Source organism: Homo sapiens, chromosome 12 (assembly GCF_000001405.40).
Source record: "Homo sapiens chromosome 12, GRCh38.p14 Primary Assembly".
NCBI lineage: Eukaryota > Metazoa > Chordata > Mammalia > Primates > Hominidae > Homo > Homo sapiens.
The window spans coordinates 118351894-118372432 of record NC_000012.12 but is presented as its reverse complement, the minus strand read 5'-3'; the positions used below and the strand labels follow the sequence as shown (position 1 = coordinate 118372432).

The 20539-nt window shown below is 41.3% G+C and overlaps 1 protein-coding gene across 8 annotated transcripts in view, besides 2 other annotated features; it reads left to right on the top strand.

Annotated features, from left to right (window-relative positions):
- Nucleotides 1-20539, top strand: part of TAOK3 (TAO kinase 3) — a 223107-nt gene that overhangs the window by 475 nt on the left and 202093 nt on the right. Inside the window, exon 1 of one of the 8 annotated variants that reach the window (NM_001346489.2) lies at nucleotides 12728-12927. The exons of the other annotated variants lie outside the window; for them this stretch is intronic. The gene's annotated coding sequence lies outside the window, so the exon portion shown is untranslated. Of the gene's footprint in view, nucleotides 1-12727; nucleotides 12928-20539 lie in introns of those variants that run through there. 8 annotated transcript variants of the gene reach the window in all.
- Nucleotides 437-496: a silencer, noted in NCBI's record as "silent region_4926". NCBI's record gives its function as "represses an Ori minimal core promoter by ATAC-STARR-seq in GM12878 lymphoblastoid cells {active_cell/tissue: GM12878}" and the evidence as "EXISTENCE:reporter gene assay evidence [ECO:0000049][PMID:35858748]".
- Nucleotides 597-686: a silencer, noted in NCBI's record as "silent region_4925". NCBI's record gives its function as "represses an Ori minimal core promoter by ATAC-STARR-seq in GM12878 lymphoblastoid cells {active_cell/tissue: GM12878}" and the evidence as "EXISTENCE:reporter gene assay evidence [ECO:0000049][PMID:35858748]".

Here is a 20539-nt window from a genome sequence, read left to right as displayed (position 1 = left end):
TCTGAGGGGAGGGGTCTCCAAGAGGGGCCGGGACAGTGCGCGTGAGAGGAAGGGACCCGGAGAGGGGCTGGGGTAGTGGGGTGAGGGGTGGGTGCCTCATGAGGCACTAGGATAGGGGGATGAGGGGAGGGGGTCCCCTGAAGGACCAGGTCCCAGAAAAGGTCAGGGACAGCGGGGAGAGGGGAAGGGTCCCCGAGAGGGGCCGGCACTGAGAGTCTGAGAGATGGGGACCCCGAGAGGGGCTGGGACAGCACCCGGGGAGAGGAGACCCCGAGGTGAGGGGAGGGGACCCAGAGAGAATCCAGGACAGAGTAAAGAGAGGGGACCGGTCAGGGGATGTGAAGACAGGGGATCCCCAGAGGGCTTAGAACAGAGTGTGAGAAGACCCCAGGAAGGGCCAAGACAGTGGGAGAAGAGGAGGGGTCCCGGAAGGGGGCTGGGCTGAGACAGCGGGGCTGAGAGCAGGACACCTAGAGAGAGGCCGGGACAGCGGGTGGGAGCAGGGTGACCCCGAGAGGGGCCAGGACAGCGGGGTGAGAGGAGGGGACCCCCAGAGGGCTCGGGACAGCGCATGCGAGCGTGGGACTCCGAGAGGGGCTTTGAGCGTCGGGTGCAGGCGCGGACCCCGAGGGAGGAGCGGTGCCCCATGGGTGCGGGTCGGGCCCCCAGTCACATAGCGGGGGCCCGGCGTGAGCAGCGAGGGAGCGGGCGGGGGGTCGCGCCCGCTGAGTTGCGGGAGCCCCCCCAAGAACGGCTGCGGCGGGGAGCCTGGGTCGCAGTCGCGGCGTCGGGCAAATAGGAACCGGCTGCAGCGCAGACGAGTGGAGCGGGGAGGTGCTCCCAGGGTCTGGCATCAGCGACCTCCCTGAGGGTGGAGTGTGAGCCCCCGGGACTCCGGGGGACTCCGGAGCCGGATTATGTCATGAAACATCTCTGAAGTGAAACGCATGGGCTGGAGGAGCTGGAGGGGCTGGTGGGGCTGGCTGCAGGACAAAGATCTTGGAATGATCAAGAGACCTGCGCGGCCTGACCTCTTCTCACTGGCCCGCTGGCTTCGCATTCGTTCCTTAGAGTCTGATGTGGATGTCTTGAAAGCGAGGGGCTTCCTGATCTTAATGAAAAGGTCAGGTGAAAAGTTGGAAGGGGCTTCTTCAAACCTCCCCCACTTCCCCCTCCACAAGAAGTTGAAAGGGACAGGGATCCTTTTGGAGACCCGTGTTTTAGATTAATAAGAATATTTCTTTGATAGACCCTTGCGTTTTCCTGGACTACTGGTTTTTCATTTTAGCTCAAGGAGCTAAGAAACTTTTTTAGATTTGGCAGCATATCAGTATCAATGTTTACAATGCAGATTTAAAGGAACTATACTAGGTTTGGAATCTGGACTGTTTAACTTTGATCTGTTGGAGATAGTTGGAAGGTCAAACTAAATTTTCAAAAGAGGTTTTGGAGTCGCAAAACTAAGAGCTCTTTCCAATTAGATTTCTTATCCTAAAAGCTGCCAGGATTGAGCTTTAGGCGTAATTCCAGGACAAGCTAAGGAGAGAGATAAACCTATTTAAACCAGACACTGTGTGTCCTGGTGGGAGGCAAGTGTATCTATTAAAAGGTTGAAACAAATAGTGGGAAGCAATAGGGGGTGGGAGTTGGGGGACAGCCTCCTACTCTGAGGGATGTGAAAATTAAACTAATGATCAGGCTAGTTGTTCACAGTACTTAGGATATGTTAATACTGCCCTACCTACTTTTCAAACTCGAATGCACATGCTTTGTTATGGTTGTACCCAGCAGTTTTGTATTTGAATTTTTAAAACCTCCTTTTCAATGTTTATAGGTTGTATCTCCTCACCTCTTGGACTGGTTTCTTTTTTTATAGAAGCAGACATCGAAAATGATGGTTTTAGGAAAATAGTGAGGAATGTAATTACTATGTAATGTCGGTTATTTAGATATCGCCTTTGTTTCAGGTTTAGAATGTGTTTTATTAGAAGTCTTTTGCCAGTGTTCAATATAGGCAGTTTCAACTAAGAGGAATAAAGGAATGTTGTATTATTTCCTAAATATATAATGCAGATGCCTTACATATAACTGCTATGTAAATCCAAGACAAAAATTACTGAAGTTATTTTTATCAGGGTAATAATAAGTAGAGGAGAAGCACTGTTTAGGGATTTTATTTGACATTACCTGATACAGAGCAGTTCTTCTATGGCTTCAGAGAGTGTGCAGCTTGATGTGGTTATGAAAATTCCACTAACATGGCCAGGCGCGGTGGCTCACACCTGTAATCCTAGCACTTTGGGAGGCCGAGGCAGGCGGATCACAAGGTCAGGAGATGGAGACCATCCTGGCCAACATGATGAAACCCCGTCTCTACTAGAATACAAAAAATTAGATGGCCGTGGTGGTGTGTGCCTGTAGGGCCAGCTATTCAGGAGGCTGAGGCAGAGGAATCGCTTGAACTCAGGAGTCAGAGGTTGCAGTGAGCCAAGATCGCGCCACTGCACTCCAGCCTGGCGACAGAGCAGGACTCCGTCTCAAAAAGAAAAAAAATTCCGCTAACTAGAAGTCCTCTCCTGAGACATAGAAATTATACAGATGAGAGAAACAACAACAGCAAATACAGATTTAAAATATGAGACACTATATTTAAGATGTATTGAGTGTATTTTTTTTTACATTAAATTTATTTTTCCAGAATGCTAGATCGAATTCAAGTAAAAATAAGGTCGGTTAACTCAAAAGGGTATTTAGAACAGGCATATATTCATTTTGCAATGCATATAATGTATGAAATGGCCTGTGGAAGGATTGAGAATCTCAATATCAATAGTTCTACAAAGTAATAGAAATATTTGAGCAGATATGCTTTCACCATATTTGTTAGCTCATTTCTGACTGGTACAAATGGTTGTTTCTTAAGACAAAACATTAAATTTATTTCCTTGTAAGAAAAGAAAGTGCTCTGATACTCCCCTAAGTGATTACTAAAGCAGTCATTTCAACCACATTATATTATGGTATTGATCCAGAGACGTTAAAGAGAGATTCTTTGCAGTAGAATTTGTAGTGATAGTAAAGGCCTATAATAACTTCATTCCCTGGGGGGTTAGGAGAGTAGGTAGGGATTCTGTGAAAAATTTTTTCATTTGTTTCAAAAAACTAAAACTATACTACGAGAAGCTATAAATATATGAAATCATTGTACCTTGACTTGCTTATTTATTTATTTAATTTATTTGAGACAGGGTGTATGTAGCTCTGTCACCCAGGTTGGAGTGCAGTGGCGGGATATTCTCTCACTGCAGCCTCTGCCTCCCAAGATCAAGCGATCCTCTTGCCTCAGCCTCCTGAGTAGCTGGGACCACAGGCAAATACCATCACGCCTGGCTTTTTCTTCTTCTTCTTCTTTTTTTTTTTTTTTTTTTCTATTTTTAGTAGAGATGGGATTTCACAACATTGCCCAGGCTGGTCTCAATCTCCTGAGCTCAAGTGATCCATCCGCCTCCACCTGCCAAAGTGCTGGGATTACAGGCATAAACCCACTATCCTCAGCCCTTTTGTTTATTTAAACTTTTTATTTTCTTTTTTTTTTTCATTTTACTTTTATTTTTATTTTTTTTGTTTGAGACAGAGTCTCGCTCTGTCGCCCAGGCTGGAGTGCAGGGGCACGATTTCGGCTCACTGCAACCTCCGCCTCCCTGGTTCCAGCGATTCTCCTGCCTCAGCCTCCCGGGTAGCTGGGATTACAGGCGTGCGCCACCACACCCGGCTAATGTTTGTATTTTTATTAGAAGCGGTTTTTCACCACGGTGGCCAGGCTGATCTAGAACTCCTGACCTCAAATGATCCACCCACCTCAGCTTCTCTAAGTGCTGGGATTACAGGCGTGAGCCACCGCTCCCGGCCTATTTTCTGTTAAAAAAAAATAACCAGGCCGGGCGCGGTGGCTCACGCCTGTAATCCCAGCACTTTGGAAGGCCAAGGCGGGTGAATCACCTGAAGTCAGGAATTCGAGACCAGCCTAACCAACGTGGTGAAAACCCGTCTCTACTAAAAATACAAACATTAGCCGGGGCGTGGTGGCAGGCGCCTGTAATTCCAGCTACCCGGGAGGCTGAGGCAGGAGAATCGCTCGAATCCGGGAGGCGGAGCTTGCAGTGATCCAAAATAGCGCCCTCGCACTCCAGCCTGGGCGACAGAGCGAGACTCCGTCTCAAAAAATAATAATAATAACCAAAAGTCGTTAAGATGGAGCCTTACAGTTCCGTATGAAGGCTTACAGCAGCCACACATTGCAAGGTCTTTTTGGTTCTCAAACTGTTTTCAGTCTTTGTTTAGCAGGATGCAAATACTTCCCAATATATACAATAACACATTTTACACTTTCTATACTACTGGAGTCGTATACAGGCAAACTATTGTAATCTTAGAGACTACCTTGATATCTAATTTGGTGTAATGTTTAAGCCAACCTGAATAAACATTTTCATTGCCGGCCGGTATTCATATTTGTTGCTATCAGTAGCATAGGGGAATAGATGAAAACTGTTGGTACTTTTTTAAAAATTAGAGTCTTAATTAAGTGCCCCTTTTTTTAAAATAATTTTTTCCCTAGTTTTCATTTCTTCCCTCGCTCTCCCCACCCCCCGCCAAAAAAAAATAGAAGGGAGAGAGGGAGGGAGGATTTTGTGACTCTCCGAAAAAAGATGACTTTTCAGTAATGTATAGTTTTTGAATTCATATTTTTAAGTTGTAGGATATTATAAGATTGCATATCAGCATAGGGAATTTAATTTGTGACAATTTAGCTTTATCACCCATTTAATTGGTTGCTTTATTATTTGTAAGCTATGTTAAAAGTTTTTTTACTGTTTCTTAGGCTCAGCTAAGTAAAAGAAACATAAGTGATATTTATCTATACACCTATAATTATAGATTAGTTATGTTGAATTTATGGGCCAAAATGTGATCTCCCTCATTTCCAAGCTACAAGCACCAAATTAAAAAAAAAAAAAAACTATTTCAAATTTTAGTAATAACTGATAGAATTAAATTGATAAATTTTGTTCCAGACATACGTTATTAAAGTTACCTGCTTTATAAATCAACATAATACATTTTTTTCCTGTCTGAATTGAGATTTGTTAGGGATATTGAATTATATTTAAAATCTTTCTAAGTTATTTCTAATTTGCAAGTTAAAGGGCTAATTCCCTGGCAACAGAATGACTTAGGGGCCAATTTCTTTATTTGTTATCAGAGATTAGTCTCCTAACCATTTGTCAGCTGTCTCACAATTAAACATGTTTAATCCCTAGAGTGTGTGAGAAAAGGAAGATGGCCTGGAATAAACATTTTTTTTGTTGTTGTTTTCGAGACAGCCTTACTCTGTCGCCCAGGCTAGACTTCAGTGGTGCCATCTCGGCTTACTGCAACCTCCACCTCTCTCATAGCTGGGATTACAGGCACCCACCACGTCACCCAGCTAATTTTGGTAATTTTAGTAGAGATGGGGTTTCACCATGTTGGTGAGGCTGGTCTCGAACTGCTGGCCTCAAGTGATCCGCCCACCTCAGCCTCCCAGAGTGCTGGGACTACAAGCGTGAGCCACCATGCCTGGCCTGGAGTAAACATTTTATACCTAGAAAAACCTAGTTCCATTAAACAAAGAGGTGTGGTCCACGTGACTTTAACTCCTAGCAGTAGGAATTTACATGCTGGAGTCTAGTGTTCTGGGCCCTTTCACTTCACCTCTGGCCTCAGTGAAATGATGGGTAGTGAAATCAACCTCACATTGTATACTTTATATTAATATTGTAGTCAGTTATCAAAGTACTTATTGAAGGGATCAATTTTACTTTCTTCCACTATTTTTGAGTGTCAATAAGAGAACCTTTTATTTCCACTCAAACAGGGACTCTGTGCAGTATATATTTAATTTTATGTGTTTCACTTTCTAATGATATTGGCTTATGTCCATGGCAATCAAGGCTATGACAATTCAAATATGTTTTATTTACCCATTACAATAGATGGCACTAATCAAGACAGAATGCTTTCTTAAATACATTAATAACTTAATTATTCTTGGCAGCAGACATACTAAACAGAATCATAGTTCATAGCCAATTTTCTTTATTTTTTATTTTTTATTTATTTATTTTTTGAGATTGAGTCTCGCTCTTTCGCTCAGGCTGGAGTGCAGTGGTGCCATCTTGGCTAACTGTAACCTCCACCTCCTGGGTTCAAGTGATTCTCCTGCCTCAGCCTCCAGAGTAGCTGGGATTACAGGCGCCAACCACCACGCCTGGCTAATTTTTGTATTTTTAGTAGAGACGGGGTTTCGCCATATTGACTAGGCTGGTCTCGAATTCCTGACCTCAGGTGATCGCCTGCTTCAGCCTCCCAAAGTGCTGGGATTACAGGTGTGAGCCACTGCGCCCAGCCCATGGCCAATTTTCTATTCTGTTCTGAACATTAGCTTTTAGTTTCAGGGTATGTATGTGTAAATACACAAATACTTTCAAACCGTATACATACAGTTTTTAAATGACCTAGGTCAAGATTTAATAGCAGAGATTTAAATTTATAGTAATATGCCTCCATCATCTCTTGGCAAAATTCTCTTCTGTTGTTTTATAGCAGTTTCCTGTTAACACGTGTTATTTACTAGCTTGTGAGGACAGAGATGGGTTTTATTCATCTTTGCATCCTCTGTGGTAAGTATAGTACGAAGCACAGAGTATGAAGATGCTCAGTAAATGGGAATTGAGTGAATTAATGAATGATCAGCAAACTAGTAGATTATATTTATGTCCACACTTTGTTTCTTACCCTCATTGAGTGCTTTTTAAAATACATATATCTAAAAGGTACTAAAGAGACAATGGGCACACCTGTAATCCCAGCACTTTGGGAGGCTAATGAGGGAGGAGGGAGGATTTCTTGAGCCCAGGAGTTCAAGACCAGGCTGGGCAACACAGTGAAACACCGCCCCCGCCCCCGCCCATCTCTACAAAAAATACAAAAATTAGCTGGGCGTGTGTTTGCACGCCTCTAATCCCAGCTCCTCAGGAGGCTAAGGTGGGAGGATCACTTGAACCTGGGAGATGGAGGTTGCATGAGCAATGATCAAGCCACTGCATTCCAGCCCGGCTGATAGAGCAAGACCCTGTCTAAAAATAAAAAAATTAAAAAAGAGAGAGAGATACTGATTTCTTTGGAATGTAAGAATAAATGTTAGCATTATTCATCTGCTACATAAAAAACAGCAAGATACAGTGGAAGGAGAGAGGGCCTTAGACTGGGAAAGATCTAGGCACCTATTTTGGCCCCTTTACTATGTCTGCTGCCTGACCCTGGGCAGTTACTAAAGTCTTGATTAAAGCTCTCAATTCTCTCAACTGTAAAATAAGAATCCATACCTCTTGGGATCTGTGAAAGGAATAAGTGAAGTGATTTTTTTAAAGTGCCAAGCACAGTGACACATAGGAAGTGCTTAATGGTAGCTGTTTATTATGTTTTTGAAATAGAGTTTTGCTCTGTCACCCAGGCTGGAGTGCAGTGGTGCGATCTTGGCTCACTGCAACATCCGCCTCCCAGATTCAAGCAATTCTCCTGCCTCAGCCTCTGGAGTAGCTGCGATTACAGGCACCCGCCACCATGCCTGGCTAATTTTTGTATTTTTAGTAGGGGGATTTCACCGTGTTGGCCAGGCTGGTCTCAAACTCCTGGGCTAAAGCAATCCTCCTGCCTTGGCCTCTCGAAGTGCTGGGATTACAGGCACCAGCCACTGTGCCTGGCCTCTTATTTTAATCACTTGAAACAATTTCATATTGTGTGTGTGTTCTACTCCTAGTATCTAATCATTTGCTGAATCTCATAGCTGGCTCCTGACTTTTTCCAAAAAGAATAATTAATAGATTCATACATAGGGAAATTGAAACTCAGAGAGGATAAATGACTTCCAAAGGTCACAGAGACCATGGTAAACCAGACCACTATGACCTAGATCTGGTTTTTCAACTCAGAACATCTTCCACTTTATACCTCTCAGTGGTCAAAGGATCTTACGAGGGCCTTAATAAGGTGCAAGGGAAGGACAGCCATGACAATTTTCCAGTCTCCTTTTCGTTTTCATTCTTCCTAGATACACTGTTACTCTTTTATTCTCCCTAAAGTACGGCTCTGATTTTGACACTCACATGTTCAAAACCTTTAGTAATTCCCCATGACCTACCAAACTCAGTACAGATTTATAAACCTGTTTTATTTGTTTGTTTGTTTGTTTTTTGAGATGGAGTTTTGCTCTTGTTGCCCAGGCTGGAGTGCAATGGCGCCATCTCCACTCACTGCAACCTCTGCCTCCCGGGTTCAAGCAATTCTGCCTCAGCCTCCCGAGTAACTGGGATTATAGGCGTAACTGGGATTACAGGCATGCGTCACCATGCCCAGCTAATTTTGTATTTTTAGTAGAGACAAGGTTTCTCCATGTTGGTCAGGCTGGTCTCAAACTCCCAAACTCAGGTGATCCGCCCACCTCAGCCTCCCAAACTGTTGGGATTACAGGCATGAGCCACCGCGCCTGGCCTGTAAACCTGTTTTTAGGCTCCTATCAGCCTGTTTGTGTGTGTCTGTGTGTCTGTCTGTCTGTCTCTCTCTCTCTCTCTCTCTCACACACACACACACACACACACACACACTGCCTTGACCAGACTGGTCTTCTTAACTAGCCAAGCGCTTAGTGATGTGCCCCATTCAGGATTTTGTTCCATTTCTTTTACGTAGTATGCCTTCTGTTCCTCATTTTCCATAACTACCTCTAATGCCATCTTTCATGAGTCCTTCTCTGATTATCCTCCTTGCTACTCTCTGCTTTGAATTCCCTAAGTACTTGATTTGTACTTTTTCTTATTACATAATACTCTCTAATATTACATTGTAGGATTTGTACTTATCTTATCCTTCTTAGATATCCATATTCTTAATTTTAAAAGGACAGTGTCTTATACATCTAACCTAGTGTCTTGCAACTAGTATCTTAATTGTCAAATTGTATGGAAATTTAAATACTTTAGGTTCAAAATAATATTTAAATATAATTATACATACAATTCTGTGTGCAATTGTAAGATATAATTATTGCTGCTGGTGAAGATAATGTGCATTCCTAAGAGAAGAATTCACTTGTGACCCTGACAGTTGGTAAATCTGATACCAGTGGTAGCAAGTATATGGATACTTGTATGTTCGTTTTTAACATTGATAATATTCTCTAAAGTGGCCTTTGACTCAGTGTTTCATATTTGTTATTTTATTTCCTTAAGTGGTATTTTTATCAGATTGGTATTTGAAAGTTTGTTTTCCTGTCTCTTTCTTTCTTTTCTTTTTTTTTTTTTTTTTTTTTTTTTTGATACGGAGTCTTTCTCTGTTGCCCAGGCTGGAGTGCAGTGGTGCAATCCTGGCTCACTGCCACCTCCGCCTCCCAGGTTCAAGCAATTCTCCTGCCTCAGCCTCCCAAGTAGCTGGGATTACAGGCGCATGCCACTACACCCAGCTAGTGTTTTGTGTTTTTAGTAGAGACGGGGTTTTGCCATGTTGGGCAGGCTGGTCTCGAACTCCTGACCTCAGGCGATCCATCTACCTTGGCCTTCCAAAGTTCTGGGATTACAGATGTGAGCCGCTGCACACCTGGCCTGTTTTCCTTTCTCTAGCTATTAGCAACAATTGAAATAAGATTGTCATTTTCAACAGAAGGTGGATGTTCACTTGAGTCAGAGGTAGAGCCTGGGAGAGGGAGGCTTAGCACTCTGGTCTTCCAAAGCAATTTTTCTTACTGTGTGATCTAGGCAATTTGCGACTGTGAACAAATAAACTTATTGTTCCATCTTTCCTACCGTATCCTTCTCCATAGCACTTACCACCTCACATGCCGAATTTTTTGCTTGTTTGTCTTATATTCCTACGTGCAAACTTGTCCAACCCATAGCCCGCAGGCTGCATGCACCCCAGGATGGCTTTGAATGGGGCACAACACAAATTTGTAAACTTTCTTAAAACATTGTGAGATTTATGTGAGATTTATGCATGGACCTTTTTTTTTTTTTTTTTTTAGCCCATCAGCTATTGTTAGTGTTGGTGTATTTTATGTGTGGCCCAAGACAATTCTTCGTCTTTCATTATGGCCCAGGGAAGCCAAAAGATTGGACACCCCTAAATTTTAGGGTCTATGAAAGCAAAGATTTTTGTTTTATTAATTGCTGTATCTCCAACTCATAGAACAGTGCCTAGCAGTTAGTAGTTGCACAATAAATATTTCTTGACTGACTAAATAGAGAAATTTGACTTTGAGAGTTCCTCCGATTTGTTGGCTAAAAAGGTTTCGTTATTTTAAAAATAAGGAAGTCTCCAGACTGCTTTCCACAGTGGCTGGACTAATTTACATTCGCACCATCAGTGTATAAGCAGTCCCCTTTCTCTGAAGCCTCACCAGCATGTTTTTTTATTATTATTATTTTTATTAATAGTTTGACTATGCTCACTACCTGGGTGATGGGATCCATACCCCAAACCTCAACATCGTGCAATATTCCCATGTAACAAACCTGTGCATGTACCCCCGTATCTAAAATAAAAGTTGAAATTTTAAAAATAATAAGGAAATAAAATCCTAGCCAGGTGTAGTGGCTCACACCTGTAATCCCACCACTTTGGGAGGCTGAGGCAGGTGGATCACTTGAGGTCAGGAGTTCAAGACCAGCCTGGCCAACATGGTGAAACCCCCGTCTCTACTAAAAATACAAAAATTAGCTGGATGTGGTGGTGCATGCCTGTAATCCCAGCTACTCTGGAGGCTGAGGCATGAGAATCGCTTGAACCCAGGAGGCGGAGGTTGCAGTGATCCAAGATCGTGCCACTGCACTCCAGCCTGGGTGACAGAGTCAGACTCCATCTCAAAAAAAAAAAAAGAAAAAAAAATCCTAAGGAAGTAAATGATAGTTTGGAAGAGTAGTATTCATCTGCAAATTCTACTCTCGGGGTTTTACATTTTTCTTGGAGCAGCCTTGAATTTACTATATTTTTATTTCATTGAATACAAATGAAAGCCATTCCTACTACCACACCATACATCCACGATGGCTGTATCTCATTGTGGCTAAAACCTAAGAAAACTCTGTTCACTGTAACGAAGTCTAGTGGAAGCTTGATGACATGGCTTTTAGGCATTAAAGTCTAATAAGACCAAAATAATAATAAAATTCAGTACGGGGGCATTATCCCTTGAGAAAAAATTTCACTTGTTTTGCTTCGATGCTGATATTGACCCTGAAAATTGGTCAAATCAAGCTTCTGATGTTAATTTAGGGTTGTTATCAGTTTTCTGCATATACAAGTAATTGGGTTTGAAATGTGTTTTAAGCCTGAATTAAAATAACTTAGTCACTGATGACTCATAGTGAGAAGTTTTTCCTTTTCCCTGCTGGAACATATGCCTTTACCTCCAACATGGCCTTTTAAAAACAATTAAAACATAAAGAACACTACTTTTGTGTGACAGTTTCTGGAAAAGTTCTGTTTAGGTTTAAATTGGTGACCACTTATTACAATGCTTCTTAGTAACTACACTAACTACAAATGAGTTTCCAAATTTCCATACAAATTTCTTAATCTCTGCCTTTATGGAAGTTTCCTCATTATATATGAAATGCTCAAAAGTCCACTAAATATTATATGAATGACCACAGGGACTTTATTTTGTTCATTATTGTATTCCTAGTGCCTAGAATAGTGCCCTGCACATAGAAGCCAATTAGTAAGCATTTGTTGAATGAAATCACATACTTTTTTTTTTTTTTTTTTTTTGAGACGGAGTCTCGCTGTGTCGCCCGGGCTGGAGTCCAGTGGCGCGATCTTGGCTCACTGCAAGCTCCGCCTTCCTGGTTCACGCCATTCTCCTGCCTCAGCCTCCCGAGTAGCTGGAACTACAGGTGCCCACCACCATGCCCGGCTAATTTTTTTGTATTTTTAGTAGAGATGAGGTTTCACCATGTTAGCCAGGATGGTGTCGATCTCCTGACCTCGTGATCCGCCTGCCTCAGCCTCCCAAAGTGCTGGAATTACAGGCGTGAGCCACCGTGCCCGGCCATACTTTTTTTTTTTTTTCTTTTGAGACAGTCTCACTCTGTCGCCCAGGCTGGAGTGCAGTGGTACAATCTTGGCTCACTGCAGCCTCCGCCTCCTGGGTTCAAGTGATTCTCCTGCCTCAGCCTCCCGAGTACCTGAGATTACGGCCTCCTGCCACCACGCCCAGCCATTTTTGTATTTTTAGTAGAGACTGGGTTTCACCATGTTGGCCAGGCCGGTGTTGAACTCCTAACCTCAGGTGATCCGCCTGCCTCGGCCTCCCAAAGTGCTGGGATTACAGGTGTGAGCCACCACGCCTGACCACATACATTCTTAATAATCGCGCATCTTAGAAAAATAATGAAAGTATTGAAATAAATTTTCTCCAGCTTTTTTGAATTAGGTAATCATCAATTCACAATCATCCTAGTTTGGGTGTCTCTCGGTATTAGCCCAAGGTAGTTCTGTTCGAATAGTTCCTAGCATTGCTTGTGCCAATCTTAAATCTCCTTTAGTGGATCTCTTACAAAAGGAAGGGTGAATTGCCACCACCCATAGGCACTTGCACCTGTGGGAACCAATGGGCGTTGTAACAGGAAATACTTCAGCTTGCAATACTGATAGTAATGTGTGGCACCCAGATCACGCTGTTTTTATCTGCAGTTCCTTTTTAGTATTGTACAAAGTTTCTTGAAGATTTTTAAATACATAAGTTTAAAAGAGAATTAACTTTCAATTTGCAAATTAAAATGAGAATGGTTGCCTTTTCTTCATTATCAAGAGATGGTGAGTTGTCCTCCTGTAAGTAAATTGGTTCTTTTCTTTCTAATATTGTGTTCCTTGAAACCTTACTCTAGTATGCAGGGAGAGTGGAGGGTGCCTAAGTGTAAAATAATTAAAACTTAAGCTGATATAATTATCAATAATAGTAACCAGTTCTGATATCTACTTGATACCATAACGGTGAGCATTGATAGACTTTCATAGATTTTTACATAAGATTAGCTTGAGCAAGTTTTCCTCTTTTGTAGGTACTGGGGGGAAAATTCTGGAAAAATTTTTAGAGAGTTCTTTCTAAAATGTCGAAATGCAAAGCTGTATAAATTGCTGTTGACGTTAGCTGTCTGACCAGGAAGTACTCTCTTTAAGCCTCACTTAAAAAACTAAGTGTCTGTAATAACTTCCTTTCTCGGGATGAAGGTGCTGATAGCCTGGGGTGTTCTTATAACTTAAGTTCAGTTTTTTCTTTCCTGTGAGGAAGAGGCAGTTTTTTAAATGAAGCCATCTCTGGGGAAATCGTATTGATTGTTGTAGCTAAATACGGAATTTTTAAAGTCTTTAGTATGTTGAACTGGAAATATAGGACATGCGTTTGAGATCTACTGTGAGTAAGTGTCATTGGTATTTTATTTTACATTTAATGTTGATTATAAATATGGTTTGTGTCTAAACACTGTTAAAAAAAATGAGTAAACTCTGTTGAATTTCATGTGAAATATTTATGGCCTTAGCTCAAAGTCCAGCTGAGAGTAATCAACCTCAAAAGTCATTGGATTCATGTGCTCTATTTAATTTAATTTGTAGTTTGATATTCCACAAATAAAAGTGGCAATTTTTCAAAAAAATTTAATTTTTTTCTTTCTCCTGAATAACTAAGGTAAATGCTGAGCATGAAATACAATACCAATATTTTGTCGGAAGAGTCTTTTAAATAAAAAACTTGAAATATACTGAAGGTCATCTTAAATGGATACAGTTTATGCTAATGGATGATATTATTACTTTAAAACAATATTTTACAATCAAGCTACTCCAAGTGGCACACTATTCATCCTAGAGATCTTTAAAAGTAACAAGCCTGCCTCCTATTTTTCTTCATTCACAGAAAGGGAAAATAGTATAGAAAGCAGAGCTGTTTCTTGAATGTAATACCAAATTTAGAGACAGAAAAGTCAGAGGGTTTGGTCACATTTATTTTGTTTTGTAACTTTTTAAATCAATTTAATACATAGAGTTAGCTACTTATGAAAGTATAAAAATAAAACATGTTGGCCATTCGGTTATTAACAATTTATGTGACTACTATAGTCCATAAAATGAATTTAGTTTAAGTAGGAAAACAGATACTTTTTTTTTGACATGTCATCATTTGTATGTTAAAAAGTTAATGCAAAATATGTTATAAATCAGGAAAGCTACCTTAATAATTTCTTTACCAACTTCACTAGTCTCTTGGAATGAGGTTTAAATAAAATGCATAGGCTAACATGTGACTGTCATATCCAAACTCATAATACTGTGCAGGTTAAATGTGTAAATTAAGTCTTATAATTATGCATAGGATGTTTTCATTTAAGAAGCATTGCAGTGGATATTACTAATGGGGGCGCTATTCTTTCTAATGTATGAAAAAGGAAATTTTAAGTGTCAAATAATCTTTAAAATGTGATGTCATATAGCACGTTCTTTTTCCTTAAGATTTATGCATGTTTAAAACTTAAAAGTACAAATTATGTTAATTTCAGCTTTCATTGAGAGGCCTTTTATGATTGTCTGAATGTTATATTAGCAGTCCAGAAATATCCCAGTCATAGCTTGGATGGGGGTGAAGCAGAGGAAGTGGGTGGTGCTTCGTGATGACAGATTATTGCAGATTATATGGCTGCCTGCCAAAATGACACTCGTTGAAGGGAAAAGTAGAAGTTACAAACTCCATCCTATTAATTTGTACATGTTTATTTAACCACTTATAACTGTTTGCTTGTTTTATACATAGATGACAAGTTTTAAACTCCTGAATTACTTAAAACGTGCTTAACCTTCTCTAGTTTATTGTGGCTATATTCCTTATCTCTGATCTGCAAAGATCACACTGACCCTTTTGTGGAAAGCCACGTGTTAGCAGAAAAAAGATGGGGGAAGGATGACAGAATTTAAAACTACAGCTGCTTTGTTTTCCAGTTAAAAATAGTTCTGAGTTAAAAACGTAAGGATGTCCCATCACATGTGGACAATTTATATAAAATATAGCATACTAATACAAATAATCATGTCTTATGAAAAAGTTTATAGTTCTAGATTGTTCTGGTTTAGCTTGAAATTGAGATTCTTACTGTTGCAACATAAAAGGAAGCTTTGTGAAGGAAATATGACATCTCTGCCCAGATGCATAAGGAGGGAATTACAGTGGGGAGTTATTTTTAGAAGTATCTTATGAATACATTTCATGTACTGAGAACATTTTTTAAAGGTTAGTTTCACTGGTAGGAGTTATGCAAGTTGCTCGGGTCACTGGATATTCTATTAAGAAATCATTTTTATGTTACCAACCAACCTAGTTAGTCTTAAACTGGCTGATCTAAGTAGTAGCTTGCTTGTTTATTTAGAGACAGAGTCTCACCCTGTCACCCAGGTTGGTGTGCAGTGGCACAGTCATAGCTCACTGCTGCCTTGAACTCCTGAGCTCAAGTGATCCTCCTGCCTCAGCCTCCCCAGTAGCCGAGACTACAGGCATGTGCCACCATGCCTGGCTAATTTTTTAAAGTTTCTTTTTTTTTGTAAAGAGGGAGTCTTGCTGTGTTGCCTAGGTTGGTCTCAAAATCCTGGCCTCAAGAGATCCTCCTGCCTCTGCCTCCCAAAACTCTGGGATTACAGGTGTGAGCCACTGCACGTGGCCATATCATTTTTTTTTAATGTGACCAAATTGAGGCCGGGCATTGTTGCTGACGCCTGTAATCCCAGCACTTTGGGAGGCCGAAGTTGGAATATCACTTGAGGCCAGGAATTTGAGACCACCCTGGCCAACATGGTGAAGCCCCGTCTCTACTGAAAATACAAAAATTAGCTGGGCGTGGTGGTGTAAGTCTGTAATCCCAGTTACTCGGAAGGCTGAGACATGAGAATCACTTGAACCTGGGAGGCGGAGGTTGCGGTGAGCTGAGATTGTGCCACTGCACTCCAACCTGAGCGACAGAGCCGGACTCCATCTCAAAAAAAAAAAAAAAAAAAAAAGAAAGTGACCAAATTGAGAAGATATTGAGATCCTGTCAATACCATCAAATAGTAATGCAAGTTATCCTACTAAAAGAGGGGAGGGGACAGTTACATTCCCAGTGCATAGTAGTGTCCCATTCTCCTTCAGGAATGGAATGCCATGTTTTCAGTTCAAGGAAAGGTTGGAAGTGAGTCAAGGAAGCTATCATTTGTATCACACAATTCTTAGAATTGATGCCCTTCCCTAATTCTTTTACATGATCAGCAGCATATCCAGGTTTCTGGTATTTCTTACTTTCAGTTTCTGTCACATAGGTTTGGGATTGGCAGGATAGTTTAATGTTTAATAAGAGTGTGGCAGATAAACATGTCTGCCACCTACTAGCTTTGTGACTTTGCACAAATCCCTTAACCTCCCCGAAACCTCAGTTTCTTCTTCTGTAAAATTGATATAATTATAATACCTACTTCACAGGATTGTTGTGAGGATTAAATGAAATAATGTATGAAAAGCATAATTTTGGCCACACACTGTAAAGGAAGAGCTCAGTGTGCAAGAATAGTTATGCTTATTTTTGCCATTTTTGGATATTTCAGTTCTCATTCATAGCTTCACCAGAAAGTGATCATGGAAAGAGATACAACAACACATGGCATTATGTATAGATAATAAAATCAGCGTTATAATAATAGAAGTATTTAGAAAGTACCAGGGAACACAGGGATGAAATCCACCGATCTTATTTATGCCCTTCCTCTTACCACATTGTGTACTACCCATTCCAAGGGGATAGGAAGAAGGAGACAGGGATCGACTGTAGATTTAATAATTATTCATCAAAATGATTATATAATCTGACAAATTTCACTTTAGTAACATTTTTCATTTTGTTTCAATTGAGATCATTTCCTCCCAATTTGATGGAACAGCCCGGGAAACAACATGGTGAAGTGTTGATTTCTTAAAATGTTATTTTCTCAGCAGAGTGTGTTTGTTTTCTTCTGAGTACACCACTCAGATAAAGTTAGGACTGTGTCTTAAGATTTTAGATCAGCTAAAAAAATTTTTTTTGTTTTGGTGACAATAGAACATAGATATTTACATGTATATTTGAATACAATAGTCCCCTCTTATCCTGTCTTGCTTTCTGTGGTTTTAATTACTCATGGTGAACTGTGGTCTAAAAATACTAAAGTGGAAAATTGCAGAAATAAACCATTCATGAGTTTTATTTTATTTATTTATTTTGGGACAGAGTCTCACTTTGCCACCTAGTCTGGAGTGCAGTGGTGCGATCATAGCTCACCACAGCCTCAGCCTCAAACTCCTAGACTCAAGGGACCCTCCTGCCTTGGCCTCCCAGATAGCTAATTAAAAAAAAAAATTGCAGAGACAGGATGTATTAGTCTGTTTTCACGCTGCTAATAAAGACATCTGAGGCTGGGTAATTTATACAGGAAAGAGGTTTAATGGACTCACAGTTCCACATGGCTTGGGAGGCCTCACAATCATGGCAGAAGGCAAGGAGGAGCAAGTCATGTCTTACATGGATGGCAGCAGGCAAAAAAGAGAGCTTGTGCAGAGAAACTCCCCCTGATAAAACCATCAGATCTCATGAGACTGTATCACAAGAACAGCACGGGAAAGACCCACCCCATGATTCACTCACCTCCCACCGAGTTCCTCCCACAATGCTTGGGAATTGTGGGAGCTACAATTCAAGATGAGATTTGGGTGGGGACATAGCCAAATCCGGTCTGGCCTCAAGTGATCCTCTGGCCTTGGCCTCCCAAAGTGCTGGGATTACAGGCATGAGCCACTGTGCCTGGCCCCATTCATGAGTTTTAAATTGCTTACCCTTTTGAGTAGTGTGATGAAATCTCCTGCTGACCTACTCCTTCTAGCCAGGGAAATGAATTATCCCTTTATCCAGCCTATCCACACTGTAGATGCTACGTGCCTATTCGTCACTTAGTAGCTGGTTGTCTTGGTTATCAGATTGACTGTTGTGGTACCTCAGTGCTTGTGTTCAACTAACCTTGATTTTACTTAATAACATCCCCAAAGTGCAAGAGTATTGTGGCTAATTTATAAATTAAGCTTCATTGTAGTTATGTATATATAGGAAAGGAAATAGTATATATAGAGTTCCATACTATCTATGGTTTCATAAATCCACTGGATGTTCTAGAACATATTCCCCACACATAAGGACAACTACTGCATAAAGAATGTTTTCCGTTCTCACAATCTGAGACTCTAGGGTTCATATCTTGTATTGGGTCAGTTAACTTTGTTGACGTATTGAAAATATTAAAACTAATTCTTACATAAGCAGATTTTCATAGGGATGTGTTAGCAAAACAGATGTGAAATTTAGGGGACACCCGCAGTCAATTCACTAAACCAAACAAGGAAACTCCTTATAGGATACTTGAAAAAAAAAATGTTTAGCCGTTGTGAATATACTTTTAGTGTTTAAAATTTCAGGGTGTTAATCTGTAATGTAACCCCTTTGTCTCCTAGCCAGCTCCTGGCTTATTCCATGTTTTTCCTTGTTTCTGAGAATTCCTAACATAATAGTCTCAAGGCTCATTACATCGCTGGTAAAATGCACTGCACCTCGTGCACCTTTCCCATTCAGACCCTTGTTGCCTCGTTCCTGGACTACCACAGGGGCCTGCCTTCATTTCAGTCTCTTTTTCCCAACTCATCATGATGAATCTTCTTTAAATGCTACTTCTAGCATGTCACTCCCTTTTCAGAGAGCTTCAGTGGTTCCCTGTTTTCCACTATGTTAAATCTAACTTCTTCTGCTTGACTTTCGACACCCTTTCTGATTTGCCTGTACACTATTTATCCAGCTTCATTTCCTATGATCTTGGGCCTATTCTTTCTGTTCTATTGAAGTCGGTCTCTCAAACACACCAAACTCATTCAAGTCTCTGCCTTTTACTTCACCCAAAAAGCCCTTGCTTGGAGCTTCTCGCTGCCTACGCAGATTTTACCATTCCTTCAAGATCCTGTGTGAAGTGTACTACCTGTTAGATGCTTTTCCTACTCCTACTATTTTCCTGCAAATTCTCGGGTGATTTTTAATTTAGCAAACCAATGAACAAAAATCTGTGTAGTGTCTTCTATCACACACTCTTGTATCTTCACTAATGTAAACATTTTGAATACAAACACCATATCTTTTAGCTAAATCTTTCACAGTTCCTAGCATAAGGCGGAGGAAACTGATTTTGAAGAGAAAGAAAAAATAGTAAATGTATTTCATCATGCTTATCTAAAGTCAACTCAGGCCGGGCACAGTGGCTCACTCCTGTAATCCCAACACTTTGGGAGGTCAAGGTAAATGGATCACCTGAGGTCAGGAGTTCGAGACCAGCCTGGCCAACATAGTGAAACCTTGTCTCTACTAAAAATACAAAACTAGCCAGGCATGGTGGCACACACCTGTAATCCCAGCTACTTGGGAGGCTGAGGCAGGAGAATTGCTTGAATCCCAGTGGTGGAAGTTGCAGTGAGCCAAGATCGTGCCACAGCACTTCAGCCTGGGCAACAGAGTGAGACTCTGTCTCAAAAAATAAATAAGATAAGATCAGTAACCCTGGTAATACAGTAATGTTGAAGGGACCTGAGTATTTTTCCTATTTGGGTCCAGTCTGTCACCTCATTTACAGAAAAATGTGAGACAAATGAAGACAGTTTTGTAATTGGTTACAGATTGATATGTTTGCTTTTCTTTATGAGAAACTATATATGTGTGTATATATATGTGTATATATATGATTTTTTTTTTTTTGAGACAGAGTCTCGCTGTGTCGCCCAGGCTAGAGTGCAGTGGCGCAATCTTGGCTCACTGCAACCTCTGCCTCCCAGGTTCAAGCGATTCTCCCTACCTCAGCCTCCTGAGTAGCTGGGATTACAGGTGCATGCCACCATGCCTGGCTAATTCTTGTATTTTTAGTAGAGACAGGGTTTCACCATGTTGGTCAGGCTGGTGTCGAACACCTGACCTCATGATCCACCTGCCTTGGCCTCCCAAAGTGCTGCTATTAAAGTGATATAGCCAGCTGCCGTTGGAGAGATATAGTTTTGATAATAACAGCTTTCCATCCTATAGAACTATAGATTAGGCCGGGCGCGGTGGCTCACGCCTGTAATCCCAGCACTTTGGGAGGCCGAGGTGGGCGGACCACGAGGTCAGGAGATCGAGACCATCTTGGCTAACACGGTGAAACCCCATCTCTACTAAAAATAAAAAAATTAGCCAGGCGCGGTGGCGGGTGCCTGTAATCCCAGCTACTCGGGAGGCTGAGGCAGGAGAATGGCATGAACCCGGGAGGCGGAGCTTGGAGTGAGCCAAGATAGCGCCACTGCAGTCTGGCCTGGGTGAAAGAGGGAGACTCCGCC